The 16,259-nt window shown below is 54.0% G+C and overlaps 1 long non-coding RNA gene and 1 pseudogene across 2 annotated transcripts, besides 1 other annotated feature; one reads left to right on the top strand and one right to left on the bottom strand.

The window, feature by feature from the left end:
- Nucleotides 1-2,115: 2,115 nt before the first annotated feature.
- On the bottom strand, nucleotides 2,116-10,538 carry LINC00905 (long intergenic non-protein coding RNA 905). 2 transcript variants are annotated; one of them, NR_024335.2, is made up of 5 exons: nucleotides 10,423-10,538; nucleotides 9,239-9,771; nucleotides 8,529-8,780; nucleotides 8,234-8,363; nucleotides 2,116-2,812 (listed from the first exon to the last, which is right to left on the bottom strand). It is a non-coding gene; the product is annotated as a long intergenic non-protein coding RNA 905 (long non-coding RNA). The 2 variants fall into 2 exon arrangements; NR_110321.1 differs by lacking the exon at nucleotides 10,423-10,538 and adding an exon at nucleotides 10,045-10,131 and having other exon boundaries at nucleotides 9,239-9,510.
- Nucleotides 8,156-9,422, top strand: SNX33P1 (sorting nexin 33 pseudogene 1; annotated as a pseudogene).
- Nucleotides 8,653-9,154: an enhancer, noted in NCBI's record as "H3K4me1 hESC enhancer chr19:16145907-16146408 (GRCh37/hg19 assembly coordinates)". NCBI's record gives its function as "activates a minimal SCP1, AML or CMV promoter by ChIP-STARR-seq in naive and primed H9 embryonic stem cells {active_cell/tissue: H9 hESC(naive and primed)}" and the evidence as "EXISTENCE:reporter gene assay evidence [ECO:0000049][PMID:30033119]".
- Nucleotides 10,539-16,259: the final 5,721 nt, after the last annotated feature.

The following is a 16,259-nucleotide window of genomic DNA, read 5'->3' as shown; positions in this document are numbered from 1 at the left end:
TTGTGTAACAGTTTTGTACAGGCATATTGATTTAAAAACTAAATATTGCACCACCAGAGTAGTGTGAACACTATAAAACATGTTTTCCAAACTGAAATTAACAGGGGAAGCTATTAGCATATAATAAACTCTTGGGTGTGTCATACCATCTTAATACTGATACTAAGAATAGCCAGTACTTTGATGCATGCCTTGGGGCAAAATTCATGGTTAAGGGTCGTGGATGGGTCCCTCACAACCTGGCTCCACTTGTCCTTGCCAGTCTCCTCTGTAGTCATTTCCCACTCCCTACTGTATCCTGAAACCAGGTTTTCTTGAGCTGCAGGGCCTTTGCCTCTGCAGTTTCCTCTGCTTGGAATGTCCCTGTTCCTACAGACGATTCCTCATACCCTGCTTTCCATACCAAGCCCAAGCACCTTCTATGGGACATATTCCTGTCACTACTCCCCATTTCCGGGCCCTTGCTCTGGCCCATCCCTAAACATCCATTCACCCATTCATCTCTCCATCCCTCCTTTCATCCCTTTATCCATCTACCCATCCCTCCATTCCTTCATTCATCCATCCATCCACCCAGTCATTCATCCCTTTATCCCTCCCTTCATCCCTTCATCCATTCATCCATCTACCCATTCATCATCCATCCCTCCATCCACTCATTTATTCATCCATCCTCTGCCCATTCATCCCTCCATCCCTTCATCCATCCACCCATCCATCCCTCCATCCCTCCCTCCATCCATTCATCCATCTACCCATTCATCCATCCCTCCCTCCATTCCTCCATCCATCCACCCATCCATCTACCCATTCATCCCTTCATCCCTCCATCCATTCGTTTATTCATCCATCCTCCACCCATTCATCCATCCATCCATCCATCCATCCACCCACCCATCCACCCCTCCTTTCCTCCCTCCCTCCATTCATCCATCTACCCATTCATCCCTTCATCCCTCCATCCATTCGTTTATTCATCTATCCTCCACCCATTCATCCCTCCATCCCTTCATCCATCCACCCATCCATCCCTCCATCCCTCCCTGCATCCATTCATCCATCTACCCATTCATCCATCCATCCCTCCATTCCTCCATTCATCCATCCATCCATCCATCCATCCATCCATCCATCCATCCACTCATTCATCCTTCCATCCCTTCATCCATCCACCCATCCAACCATTCATCCCGGCCTCTCTCCTTCCCTCCCTCCCTTCCTTCATTGAACACACAGGCCAGTGATGTCTGTGTCTGGCTCTGTGCTCCAACCCCCAGAGAGGAGCCTCTCAAGAGTAGGGTTTTGGGTTGAGCTTTCTCTACTGCCCCGACACGGCTCAGCACAGGGCTGTTGTTGAATGTGCCTGATTTTGCAGGATGACTTTGTGAGCCAGTATTCATATTTTTGCAATGAGGTCATATGTATTTTGAGTGGCATGGGAAGGCCCTACAAGGACAAGCCTATCATGCTTATGCACCTGTGTTCATTCATTCATTCATTCATTCATTCATTCATTCATTCATTCATTCGTTATTGAGCCCTTAGGATGTTCCAGGTGAAGACAAACAGTATCTTGTCCCTTGGGACCAGGGAAGGTTTTCCTGAAGTGGTAACACTGAGCTAAAATATGAAGGATGAATGGGAGGTGAATTGGCTGATGTGGGAAGGGAAGGGTGATGGAGGCCAAAGGGAACAGCATAGGTGAAGGCAGAGGGCTGTATGGCACATCCCTGGGTACCTGCACTCGTGGAGGACTTGTTTAATATCAAACATTAAAAGGCACTCACATTGAATGTATTTCTTCCTGTTAAAACAAGAAGAAGCTGGGTGCGGTGGCTAACACTTATAATCCCAGCACTTTGGGAGGCCGAGGCAGGAGGATCACTTGAGCCCAGGAGTTTGAGACCAGCCCTGGCAACATAGTGAGACCCTGACTCTAAAAAAATAAAAAAAATTAGTCGGGCGTGGTGGTGTGCATCCTCGCAGCTACTTGGGAGGCTGAAGTGGGAAGACGGTTTGAGTCCAGGAATTTGAGGCTGCAGTGAGCTGTGATTGCGCCACTGCACTCCAGCCTGGGCAACAGAGCAAGACCCTGATACACACACACACAAAGTTAAAAAAGTAGAAAGGATCGTTATCTTTTTGCTTTTGAAGTTATTGGGGTCCCATTAAACTCATATGCTTCTTGGGCATGTACAGGCATTCTTGCCAACAGAGAACATCTAACCCACAAAAACTTTCCAACGTGATGACACCGTGGGGGGGATTCTGGAGCCAACAGTGAATCCAGGTGGCACTATGTCTAGCTAAGTAGACATTTCCTTCAAGCGTTCATTGATTTTGATTTTGCAGCCTTGCTTTTACGTTGTCAAATATCAAAGTGTGTGGTTTTACAGTTTTTTTTTCCTTCCAGGTCTTTAACGTTTTCGGGGACCTCTGGAAAACCTACAGGCGCGGCCCTGGGAAGCTCTGGGTCCCTAGGAGGGGAGGTGACTCCGCGGCGTCCCGGGAATGATCCTCGCGGAGCTCGCGAGGTACTAGCGCCCCCCAGCGTCTGGATTGAGAAACGCACCCTGCGAGGGTGGAGAACCAGCCCAGCCCCAAAGTGAGGTGGCAGAAAAACGAACTCACGGCCAAGGACTGGCTGAGGTTAGCCAGAATTGTGTAAATGTGTTTTGTCTTGCTGGGCTGCCCCCTCTCCTGGTCCTTTGGCTAGGGAGAACAGGATTTTGTTTGGGATTTTTCTTTTGCTTTTTTCGACTGTGCCTGTTGGCGTTCGCGGGTTGCCAGCTTCTTCAGGTCCAAGCCTGGGCTGTATGTGGCGAAAAACAAAACAAAACACCAAAGAATTGACTTTCGTGTCATTCCTTGGGTCCTGAAATTCCCACTGTGTCTGCCTTCCCTCCATCATTCAGAGTCTTACATTTTTCTAGTTTGATCCAATTTCCCAATCACTTTTTATTTTGACAAAGTTGTAAATATGATGCATAGAACATGTTTTGACATAGGCGTACAGCGTAAAATATCTAAATCAAGCTAATTTAACATTTCCTTGACATACCCGTGACCATACCTCCATGCTTATCTCTTTTTCTGTGGTAAGAACACTTAAAATTTGCTCAGCAATTCAGTTTTTTTATATTGAAAAAAAAAAAAAAAAAAAAAGAGATGAGGTCTCACTATGTCGCCCAGGCTGGTCTCAAACACCTGGCCTCAAGTGATCCCCCTCAGTCTCCCAGCGTGCTAGGATTACAGGTGTGAGCCACTGCGCCCAGACTACTCAGCATTTTTCAAGAATAAAATACATTGACTAGAGTCACCATGTTGAACAATTCCTCTTGTGCCCTTTGGCCAATATCTGTTCAGTCCCTCCTCCCTCCCTCAGTCCCTGGAGCCACCATTCTACTTGGGAGTTCAGCTTTTTAGATTCCACAAGTGAGACAGGAAGTATTTGTTTTTCTGTGCCTGGCTTATTTCACTGAACGTCTTCCGGGTTCATCCACGTAAACACAAGCTTTGTTTTTAAAGGCTGAATCTTATTCAGAGTCTTATGTTTTTATGTATGATGTCTGGCCCAGGGTTTTAGTTGTGCTTCGTGGGAGGAATGGGAAAAATTATGTATACCTTGTCCATTTGAATTTGAGAAATGTGCATGATTACACGATCACGTTTTGATCATATGCATGGAATCACAACATATGTATTTTGGTCAACAGCTTCTTATTTCCTTTGTTCTGCCTTCCTCCCTCCCCTCCTCCACGTCCAGTTCTCTCCATCTTTCAAATTCAGGCTCACTCCTTCTCCCATGGATTACTCCAATTGTTCCCCCTTTTTATCGCTATTGGTCATGTCTGGACTTGGAATAAACCCTTTCTGTCCACATGGGCCCTGTCTGCCTGCTGACCTTCCTCTCACTCCTGGCCTCAACATCATCATTCATTCATCAAACACTAAGTGTCTCATTTTGGGGGCACCCCTGAACCTGTGATCCCTCGGAGTTGACCGGGCAAGAAGATCTCCTTACGAAGCAGAGACAGCAAGTGGCGGGGGTGGGGGTGGGGGGGCCCAGTTGGCACAGGATTAAAATACAAGGGCACCCAACCTCACCAGTCATGAGGAACAAGAAGCCACCATGAGGCATTTCAAACCCAACACCCAACATAAATGAAAAGTCTGGCAACACCAGCAGTTTTGGAGGCAGGTAGAAACCCTCAATGGTGGGAGAGCACATTGGTGAAATCACTGTGAAGAATGTGGAAATACCTGGAAATGTTGAAAACGTCCAGATTCTGAAGCTTAGCCTCTCCCCACTTGGCTTTATACCCTAGTGAGCTCCATGGAACTTAAGAAAATGGCTTTGGTCTGGGGCCAAACCCATTTTCTTAGATGGGTTGACTTAAGAAGATGGGCCCTTGTCTGTGGGTAGATGGTCACGGGGGACCGGGTCAGTGGTGGCTTGGTCACTGGGGGGGACTGATCAGTGGGACCCAGTCTGCAGGGCTTGGTCAGCACAGAACACGATCAGTCCGGCTTAGTCAACAGGACCTGGTGGGTGGGGACCTGGTGAGTGGGGGCCTGGTTAGTGGGGACTTAGTAAGGACGAGGTCAGCTGGCTGCTGGGTGACCTCAGGCAGGGGGTTTGTCCTAGAAGCCTCCTTTCTTCCATTTGTAGGGGAGATGAAATCAACTGCACCCCAGAGAGCTACTGGGAGGAGGAGAAGTGCATTGAATATGGCCCTGCTATGCAGATTTAGTACCGTATACACTGAGTCCCTCCCGAGGGAGGGGGTTTCACCCACGGCACTGCCCTGCCCTGCCTGCATCCCCAGGACCACCCTGCCTGAAGGCAGAGGCTGGGGCGCACCTGTGGATGCTCTGATGCTGACCACAGGCCCTGGGGTGACAGTGATGAGGACATGGGGGCACACGTGATTGGGGAAGCCAGGGCCGGCCGGAGGAGAGACACACGCTCACACGCACCCGCACATATCCACCTGCACTCAAGTGCACAGACGCATTGCACGCACACGTCGACAGTTCAGGAGGGGCAGAGGATGCCGTCTCTGGGCCCTGCTGACCCATGCAGGGCTCCGTTGTGATGGGTGCCGTGAGCCCACAATGTCACCATTACCCAACACCCAGGTACCTGCCCGGCTCTGTGTCGTAGAGCAGTTGGAGACACAGTGTGAGTGGGTTCTGCCCAAAGGACGCTTTTCTCTTTTCTAGGTGAGAGGCACATCTCTGCACGGCTGCTTGATCAGACTTAGGAGAGCGTGACCTGCTCTCTTCCCTCCCTGCTGACTTGGGGACAGTCGCTACTGGGTGGGCGGCAGCTGCCCGAGGAGGGTCATCCTCGAGTGCTCACTGGGTGCCCGTTCTGTGCTGACCAGGCAGACAGTCATCCTGTTCATCCTCACAGTGACTCTGTTCCAGGAACATGCCAGGAAGACCCCCAGCCCCACTCCCCAGGACAGACCTGGACTGGCCCAGGGACAGCACCCTCACACTGTCCCCATGACCCTTTGCTTCAGTCTGGAGGGCCAGGCTGGGCCTGTTGTGCTGAGCAGGACACTGAGTCCTCCCAGACAAGGAGCCCACCTTGACAAGACCCAGATCAAAGGCAGGAGTGTGGTGGGCACCTCCTCACCCAGGCCTCCCCCTGGCCATGGCCTCCTGTGCACAGCTGGAAGCCAGGGGTGGCTGCAAAAGGACCCAGAACCTCCCAGTGGGAGGTAGCTGTGGTGGAAACCTGGGTGTGGGCACCGACCCCTTCCATGCTACCCCCTTGTCCCTAGAGTGCCTCATGAATATGTCCCAGTCTGGACTATAAGGATTGGTTCAGGAGACGTTCTCCCAGGCCTGGGCCCTGGAGGACGATGTGGTTCTCACGCACTTTTGGGTCTGCATGAAGGAACTGACGAGGAGACACTGGGACCTGCCACCCCTAGGGAGGCTCCAGCATCAGGTCCCCTCCTGAGTCATCCTCTGGGGCAGTTGATAGTAGAGGGGGCCTGGGTCCCTGCAGCCCTACTACCTGGACCTTCCTCCCACACCTCTTCCTCCTCTACACAGAGAAACTTCTACAAATAGACCTGCCGGTTTTCAGGGGATGTGCTGAGTGCACGTGTACTGGACATGCTGCTCAAGACAGGCGGGGGTGCCCCCTGCACCTTTTACACTCTCTCTGGTCTGTGCGAGCTCCCTGCCCCCGCTGTGAGCATCAACAGACGCCGGGAGGAGCAGGGTCCCCTCACTCCACAGCGCGCCTTCAGGGATGCCAGGTGAACAGGAGAATCAGTGTTTCTGGCCCAGAGGATTCGGGGAGAGGACACGGGCAGGAGCTCTGGCCCAGGGCCAGAAACAAGAGTTCAGCCAGGCGTGGGAATGGTCCAGTCCTGGCATGGAGTGGATGGCCCCAGAGAGCGGAGAGGACCCCGTGCCTGGGGCCATCTCACCCACTGTTGAGACAGGCCCCCATGTGAGGTGGCAAGGGGGCCAGGTGACAGTGAGAGCTTCTTCCCACCTGAGCTCCTAATCAGGGCTGCATCCCCGGCCCCACAGCCCTGGGATGAGGATACGAGGCATAAGCCAGCCTAAAGCCTGTGTTACCTGTCCCAGGGGGGATACCCAGGCAGCTGCACACACCCCTTGCTCTGGGATCTGCAGCCTGCAGGGGTGTCCTCTGTGTCAGGCTAGGGTGGAGGACAGAGGGGCCCCAAGGACTCCAGAGACCCAGATGTGCAGAACCTGGCCCTGCGACAACATCTGATGGGTTTGGTGGAGAGGCTGGGTTCATCTGCATTCTCTTCAGGCAAACTTAAGGGAGGGACCCCAGCACCCAGGGCTCTTCGGGTATTTCCCAGCATTGAGCCTCTCTGCAAGGGGGATGGGCTGGCCCTCCCCGGCCCACCCGCCCAGCTCCAGCAGCACATGCAGGCGACTCCTCTGGAATGGGAGCCTGGTCCTCCCTTACCCTAGCCTGGCCAGGCTGTCCCCGAGGCCAAGGCCCAGTGGCATGAAAAGGGGGTTTCTGCAGCGCCCAGGGCAGAAGGTTGCTCTCTGGGAACCTCCGGGGCTCAGGGTGTGGCCAGGCCGTCCCTAGCTCAAGACAGACCTTGGGTGAACTGGCGGTACCTCTGGTGGAATTCCATGCCAAAGCTTCCGATGGAGCAGGCTGGCGTTGGGGGCTTGTGTTTCCTGTGGTATGACCTTGAACAGGGATGCTGAGCTCCTGTCACTTCCACATCTGCCCTGGATCGGCTAAACGGCTTCATCAGAGCCCAGACACCAGAAACTACTGTGCCCCATGATAACCAAGAGGCAGATCCAGAGACATTTCTCTACACAATGGCACCTGCATCCGACTCCTCTTGGAGGGCAGTGACCAGCCCGGTGTGGAAGGAGTTAGGGCAGCACCCGGCTAGCTGCTCCACAGCCCTAGATGGCTCTTGGGCCTTGGGAAGTCATCTCTAATGAGAACGCCGTTCACTCTAAGACTTCCCCAGAGAGGGGTGAGTGTGGCACCCCTGCAGCCCTAGCCATCAGTAGCGTGCCTTGCGGCCTCTGACTCAACCTGCAGGACAGAGCCCCACCCTCAGGGCACACTTCCTAGGACCAGAGGGGCCTGGCCTCAACCTGAGCCCTGGGAGGGGAGGGGAACTAGAGGTGTCACGTGCCTCCACAGTGGCCAGGATGACCACGCAGGGAACCCATGGCACTGTGGATTCAGTTGCTGTACCACTTGATGGCAGAAAATTTGAGAGTGATCTATGAGAACATGAAGTGCTGAGCCTGTGTAGTGAGCAGGACATCAAGGGCTGACTCGCAGGGGCTCATGGCCTCAGCAACCCTGGCCTTATATCTGCAGTGCAAGTGGTCTGCAACCCTGGACTGGCCCAGCGCGCCATGGCTGCCCCTGTGCCTTGACCCACTGTGCCATGGCCATTGTACCACCCAGAGGTTTCAAGGCCCTGCCCGGTGCACTGCCTGCCTCCTTGAAGCCATCTCTCAGTGCTTTCCAGCTGCTACTGCAGCCGCAGCTGGTGCCACCACAGAGTGCCTTCCAGCAGCCAGCGCAGGATTTCCAGGCGGTAGGGATGCCCTGAAGCCGTGGCCTCAGCAGCTCCTTGGTGGCAACTAGGCCAGCTAGGGCAGTGATGATGACTGGGACGACAAGTGGGATGGCAGCTCCATGACGGTGAACGATCCAGGTGCACTGGGCAGAGGTGCATACCTGGAGCTCGACGGCTCCCTGGGTCCCCACGTGGGCAGGAGCTCGGTCACTGTGAGCCGCAACCTCAACCGCTACTCTGCCTTCATCAAGTCGGGAAGGGAGGCCTTCGTGCTTGGCGAGGCGTTGGGCTCTGTGAAAGACAGGGACAAGCTGTGTGCATGGTGCTGTTGGTGCTTGGCCCCATGGCCCCAAGTGGCAGGAAAACCCCTACCCCATGGCCCCAAGTGGCAGGAGAACCCAGTGCACCGCTGGCGACACCACTCAGTAGAACAAGTTCAAGGACATAAAGACCTACTTCTCCTGCAAGCTGGTGCACGGCGCGACAAGCCCTTGAACCGGCTGGATGCGTGTCTAGTGAAGTTCCCAGTCGTCTCCATGCTCCACCTGCCCGAGAACAGGGCCACGGGCTGCCTCCAGAGGGACTCCATCTCCATGCACAGGAAGAGCCTGATTTGCGGGATGAGCCACACGGCTGGCCGCCTGGTGTTGGTGCAATGCCACGTCCTCCAGCACTTCCTGACGTGGCCCAGCAACACTGCGAGGAGGCCTGGAAACAGGGCAAGAGGAAGGGTGAGAAGGGTGGCATGGTGGGGGTCAGCTCCTTCCTGACCCTGAGCACTACCCCCACCACTGCCCTCAACCTGCAGGAGGTGGAGAGCAAGATGGATAGCTGCAGATGCTTGCCCAGGAAGGTGGACAACAGCGCTGCTGCTCAGCCACAGGGCATGGAGCTCACTGCCAGCAGGTGAGGGGCTTCAAGAAGGAGCATCAGCAGGCGGCCAGCCCTTCTGTGGCCTCAGCCAGGCCTTGGAGTGGGCCCAGCAGGCCTCTGGGTGGTCCTGAACCAAACCATCCCCTTCCCCGAGGTGCCTGTGATGCCATTGGCAAGCTCTTCCCGGATTGGCCCAGGCAGGACCTGGACCCCGTCTCGGACCTGTTAGTGCGGTCCCAGGAGCACTGGGCCAACTTCCCAGACCACCTCCACGTTCACAGAGGAGCTCTTACCAGAGTCACGGGGAGCAGGAGACTCGTGGGAGGAGGGAAGATGGAGGTGCGGCGGCTGATGGCGTTCAGGAGCGCGGGACACGAGTTCTTTGGGCGCTCTGGCTGAAATTCACCATCTCTATCCAATTCCAGTAGAGACTTGAGATCACAGATGCAGCACTGTTTACCACAACAGATATTTTTTCCAAAAAGTGACCCAGAATTCGGAACCAGCTCTTCACAAAAATGGAGTGTTGAATTGGGGATTTTTTTTTCTGGTTCAAGGATAATTTCTACGGCAGAACAAAAATTGCTATCAAAGAGCCATGGCCAACTATTCATGGTGGTACAAGGATGGTTTTGTGCTCAACTGAGGCCGGTTGAATAGAGAATTACATAGGAAATAAAGAGCGAACATGGTGATGGAGTAGAAACAGCACCACGTGTTGTAATTTTGTAGGCATCGGTACTACGGAAGTTCCTTCCTTCCTTCTCTCCTTCCTGCTGTCTGAGCCTCCTCCCAGCATTGGGCATCCCCTGGGCCTGGGTCTGTGCTGGGAGAGACACAAAGGACACCATTGGCTGCAGGCCAGGGACTGGCATGGTCAGGGGAGCCTGGTGAAGTCAGAGTGTTCCCTGAGGATCAGTCCTGGGATGACCAGGTCCAACTGACCAGGCAACCAGGGCCCCATCACCCGGGCCTTCCATGACCTGGCCCTCACTAAATGGGCCCCGATGACCAGGTCTCCACCGACCTGGTCCCCCATTGACCAATCCCCAATATCCAGGACACACTGACCAACCCTGCCGACCAAGTTTTCACTGACCAGGCCCCCGATGACCAGGTTTATTGATTGGGCTCCCTCTGACTAGGAGCCTGCTGACCAGGATGTCACTGACCAGGCCCCACTGACAGCCACCCCCCCTCACCCCTCCCCCACCTCTGCCAGGCCCCGATGGATTAGGTCCAATGATCAGGCAGCCACTGGCCAGGGCTGCACTGACCCCTACTGATCAGTCACCTGCTGACCAGGCCCCTGAAGACCAGGTTCACACTCACCAGGCACAAGGCCCCACTGACGAGGCCCCCACTCACCAAGCCCTCACTGACTCACTGACTAGGTCCCCCTGATGAGGCCCTCACTGCCTGGACCCCACTAACTAGGCCTCATCAATGAGACTTTCACTGACCAGACCCTACTTACCCAGGACCCCAATGACCAGGCCTCACTATCCAGGACCCACTGATGGCCTAGGTCTCCACTGACCAGGCCCCCACTGACTGGACCCAACTGACCAGGTCCTTAACTGACGAGATTCTGACTGGCCAGGTCCTTAACTGACGAGGTTCTGACTGGCCAGGTCCTTAACTGACGAGATTCTGACTGGCCAGGTCCTTAACTGACGAGGTTCTGACTGGCCAGGTCCTTAACTGACGAGGTTCTGACTGGCCAGGTCCTTAACTGACGAGGTTCTGACTGGCCAGGTCCTTAACTGACGAGCTTCTGACTGGCCAGGTCCTTAACTGACGAGGTTCTGACTGGCCAGGTCCTTAACTGACGAGGTTCTGACTGGCCAGGTCCTTAATGACCAGACCTTTACTGACTAGGCCCCACTACCCAGGACTCCCACTGACTTGGCCCAACTGACAAGGCCCCCACTGACCAGGTCCTCACTAACCATGTCCCTACTGACCAGGCCCCCAGTGACTGGGCCCAACTGACAAGGTTCCAACTGACCAGGTCCTTAACCGACAAGGTTCTGACTGACCAGGTCCTCAGTGACCAGACCTTTACTGACTAGGCCTCACTAACCAGGACCCCAGTGATCCAGGCCTTTACTGAATAGGCCCCACTCTCCAGGGCCTCAAAGACCAGGTCCCTACTAACCAAGTCTCTCTGAATAGACCCTTACTGACTAGACCCCACAAACCAGGACCTCAGTGACCAAGCTCCCATTGACCAGGTCCCACTGGCCAGGCCCCAGTTGATGAGGCCCCGCTAACCACATCCAACACTGACCAGGTCCCACTGAGCAGGCCCCAGCTCTCCAGGCCCCCAGTGGCCAGGTTTCACTACCTAGGCCCCACTGACCAGGCTCCTTCTAACAAGGGTCCCCTGACCAGGTCCCATTGACAAGTCCCCACTGACTAGGTCCCCACTGATGAGGCTCCAACTTACCAGGACCCCACTGACCAAACCTCCACTGACCAGGCCCCACTAGCCAGGCCCCACTGATGAGACTCCCACTGACTTGGGCCCAACTGACAAGACCCCCTCAGACCAGGTCCCACTGACCGGGCCCAAAGTGACAAGGTTCCAACTGACCAGGTCCTTAATGACCAGACCTTTAGGGACCAGGCCCCCTTACCCAAGTCCCCACTGACCAGTCCTCCAGTGACTAGGCCTCACTATCCAAGACCCACTGATGAGGCTTCCATTGCCAGGTCCCCACTGACTAGAGCTCACTGACACGGCCCCAACAGATGAGGTTCTGGCTGACCAGGCCCTGAATGACCAGACCTTTACTGACTAGGCCCCACTACCCAGGACTCCAGTGCCCAGGTCCCTACTGACCAAGTCCCACTGACTAGGCCCTCGCTGACCAGGTCCCCACTGACTGGGCCCCAACTAAGAAAATTCCAACTGACCATGTCCTTACTGAATAGACCTTTACTGACTAGGCCCCACTACCCAGGAGCCCAACGACCAGGCCCTCACTGCCAGGCTTCCACTGACCACCTTTCTATTGAACAGGCTCCAGTGGCCAGGTTTCCAATGACTAGGTCCCCATAGACCAGACCCCCAATAATCAGATCACACTGACCCAGCTTCCGCTGACCAGGCGCCCACTGACCAGGTCCTCACTGATGAGGTGCCAAGTGACTAAGTCCTTAACTCGAGGACCCATGATCAGTCCCCTCTGACCAGGCCACAGCTGACCAGGCCTCCCACAGACCAGATCCTCACCGAGCAGGTCCCTGCTGACAACACCCCCATTTACTAGGTGTTTTCTGACTATGTCCCCAAGGACCGTGTCCCCATTCACAAAGCCTCCGCTGACCGGGCCCCCATTGACTAGGACACATTGTTTAGGTCCCATTGATCAGGCCCCGCTGAGCAGGCCACAATGTCCAGGTCCCACAGATCAGGCCCCCACTGACCAGACCACAATGTTCAGGTCCCACTGACAAGGCCCCCGCTGACCAGGCCACAATGTCCAGGTCCTACTGATCAGGCCCCGCTGAGCAGGCCACAATGTCCAGGTCCCACTGACAAGGCCCCTGTTGATCAAGCCATAAGGTCGAGGTACCCACTGACCAGGCCTCAGCTGACCAGGCCACAATGTCCAGGTTCCCACTGATCAGACCCCCGCTGACCAGGCCACAATGTCCAGGTCCCACTGACAAGGCCCCCACTGACCAGGCCACAATGTCCAGGTCCCACTGACAAGGCCCCTGTTGACCAAGCCACAAGGTCCAGGTCCCCACTGACCAGACCAGGCCTCGGCTGACCAGGCCACAATGTCCAGGTTCCCACTGACCAGGCCCCTCAGCCATGGTGCTCAAAGTCCGTTCCTGTGGCCCCCACTCAGCCCACAGACTCTCCCCTCCCCACATCTGCACTCACAGGCCAGGCCCCTGAGGGTCTTTTTGGGACAGGGCCCCTCCTCCAGGACACAGGGAGGGACAGCTGGCCTTAGGCTCCAGGCGCCCAGCTTCACACTCGCCCCCCACAAGGCCCTATGGGCTCATCTCAAAGGGACAGTAAATTGGCATGGCACCACCTGGACCTTTTGCTGAGCTGCAGTCCAGGGAATGGAGGGATGTTTGTCACACCAGGCATCCTTTGTGCTAGGCATCCCAAGCCCTTCCCGTGGAGTCTGGATCTAGAGACACAGTGCAGATGCGGTGAGGTGACCAGCCCAGGACCCTCGAGGCTGAGCTTAGGAACACATGAGGACTGTCCCCAGATGTGGGCGAAGGATTACCTAGGTGCCGAGGCAAGAGACTGAAGGCACAAACTGTTTCAGTATAATAAAGAAAATAGTTAGAATAAGAATAGTCATAATACAAATTAGATACAGAGATGATCATGGACAATTATCAATCATTAATATAAACATTATTAATCATTAGCTTTTAATATTACTCTTTGTTGCATTACTAATATAACCTAGGAATAACCGACGAGTAGAGAGGGTCAGGTGCTGAAGGGACAATGTGAGAAGTGACCTAGAAGGCAAGAGGTGAACCCTCTGTCACGCCTGCATAAGGGCCGCATGAGGGCTCCTTGGTCAAGCGGTTAATGCCAGTGTCTGGGAAGGCGCCCGTAACTTAGCAGACCGCGAAATGGAGTCTCCTTTCCTCGGAGGACTCAGGGAACACTCTGCTCCACCAGCTTCTTGTGGAAGGCTGGATATTATCTAGGCCTACCCGCAGCCTAAACCCCTCCCTGTGGTGCTGTGTTCCAATGGTCATGACGCTCCTTGTCCACTTTCATGTTCCTCCCGTACTCCTGGTTCCTCTTTGAAGTTTGTAGTAGACAGCGGTAGAAGAAATAGTGAGTCTTAAAGTCTTTGATCTTTCTTATAAGTGCATAGAAGAAAACGCTGACATATGCTGCGTTCTCTCTCTGCTTCCGCTACCTAAAAGGGAAGGGCCCCCTGTCCTATGATCACGTGACTTGCTTGACTTTGTCAATCACTTGGAAGATTCACCCTCCTTCCCTGCCCTCCTTGTCTTGTACGCAATAAATTTCAGCACGCCCAGTCATTCGGGACCACTACCGGTCTCCGTGTCTTGGTAGTAGTGGTCCCCTGGGCCCAGCTGTTTTCTCTTCATCTCTTTGTCTTGTGTCTTTATTTCTTACAATCTCTCATCTCCGCACACAGGGAGAACACCCGCTAAGCCCCGTAGGGCTGGACCGTACACCCAGACAGCCAGAAGACTCTGCTAGTTTCTCAGTCCTTCCTTCCTTCCTTTTTTTTTTCTTTTTCCCCTCACTATATTGCCCAGGCTGGTCTTGCACTCCTGGACTCAAGCGATCCACCCGCCTTGATCTCCCAAAGTGCTGGGATTACAGGCGTGCGCCACCACGCCTGGCCTCAGTATGTCATTTCTTACCAGTTACCTTCCTCCACCAAGAAGCCCCTAGATGCCAAGTCAGTGAGAAGAGGAAGGCGGTCAAAGAATCCATGGAAAGAAAGTGACACAGGCTTAGGATGTGGGGGTGCCACATGCTGGGAGGAGGTGCAGGCAGAAGGAAGAATGGACAGAAGGAAGGAAGGGCTGCTGGAGCCCAGCCACCCAGGGACAGAGGTGATCACGGACCCTCCCAGGAATGCTTTGCACGGACCATCATGAATGTTCCAGAAGTCACTGGAACCCCCGCCCTCTGCTCCTGTCCCAGGCTCCTCTGTGGCCTTTGGGAGGTGGAAGCTGAGAGAAGCTGGGTGGAGCCTGGGTTGTGCTGCCCTCTCCTCCCGCCTGCCCCAGGGTGTCCGGGGCTTCCTGCAGAGAGCTTTGGGCTTAAGTGATCCACCCGCCTTAGCCTCCCAAAGTGCTGGGATTATAAGCGTGAGACACTGCGCTCGGCCTATTTAATCATTTTGACTCACCAATATTTCAAACTGACTTCCTTCTGTATGACCATTTCAGTCAAAAACAGGCAGGTCATAACGACAGAGAAGTGATTTGTGTTTTAACCAACGAGGGCGGGGACTTGAGGCCAAGGAGGGGGTCCTTGCTTCTGAGAGGGAGGCCTTCAAAGGGATGAAGGCATTGGTACTGGCAGCCCTGGTCCCCCCCATCGCCCCCAACTTTGTAGCTTGGAGCCTCCCTGCAGTGTGTGAGACCTCCTTTCCTGAGTTGTTCTTCCTCCTCCTCCTCCTCTCCCCCTCCCCCTCCCCTCCCCTTCCCCTTCCCCTTCTTCTTCTTCTTCTTCCTCTTCCTCTTCCTCTTCCTCTTCTTCTTCTTCTTCTTCCTTCTTCCTTCTTCCTCCTCCTTTTTTTTTTTTGAGAGGGAGTCTTGCTCTGTCACCCAGGATGGAGTGCAGTGGCGTAATCTCGGCTCACTGCAACCTCCGCCTCCTGGGTTCAAGCAATTCTCCTCCCTCAGCCTCCCGAGTAGCTGGGATTACAGGCGCCTGCCACCACGCCTGGCTAATTTTTACATTTTTAGTAGAGACAGGGTTTCCCCATGTTGGCCAGGCTGGTCTCGAACTCCTGACCTCAGGTGATCCACCTGCCTCGGCCTCTCAAAGTGCTGGGATTACAGGCGTGAGCCACCACGCCCGGCTATTTCCTGAGTTTTTCTAACCGTGAAATGCAGCTGCCAAGAATGGCAGATGTAGGGACCTAGCCTCCTGGGCCCCCCTTTGCCCAGTTTTCTTCAGTCCTAGTAACTGAAGCAGGTTTTTTTTTTGTTGTTTTTTAAAAACAGAACAATATATTTGGCTGCAGTTCCACGTATCCGTAGTCAAGACAAAGTCACGTTAAATCAGGCTCTAAGTCACCTAAGGTATAAAATTAGACAAAATATCAAAATTGTGATCATCTGACCTTAAAATTTAACCCATATGAAATTATTATTATTATTTTTTTGAGACAGAGTCTTACTCTGTTGCCCAGGTGGAGTGCAGTGGCGTGATCTCAACTCACTGCAACCTCCACCTCCTGGGTTCAAGTGATTCTCTTGGTTCAGCCTCCCAAGTAGCTGTGATTATAGGCTTGCACCACCATGCCTGGCTAATTTTTATATTTTTAGTAGAGACGGGGTTTTGCCATGTTGACCAGGCTGGTCTCGAACTCCTGACCTCAGGTGATCTGCCTGCCTTGGCCTCCCAAAGTGCTGGGATTACAGGCGTGAGCCAGCGCACCCAGCCTGAAAAGAGAGTAAATGTACTGTTGGGCATTATTTCACTTTTCTTTTTAAATAAACAGACCGTTTTTTAAATCTTTTTTTTTTTTTTTTTTTTTTTTAAGGCAGGGTCTGGCTGTGTCACCCAGGCCAGAGTGCAGTGGTGCCATCTCGGCTCACTGC

The sequence above is a fragment of the Homo sapiens genome, chromosome 19, assembly GCF_000001405.40.
Source record: "Homo sapiens chromosome 19, GRCh38.p14 Primary Assembly".
Classification (NCBI taxonomy): Eukaryota; Metazoa; Chordata; class Mammalia; order Primates; family Hominidae; genus Homo; species Homo sapiens.
This window is presented reverse-complemented; position numbering and strand designations above follow the sequence as displayed.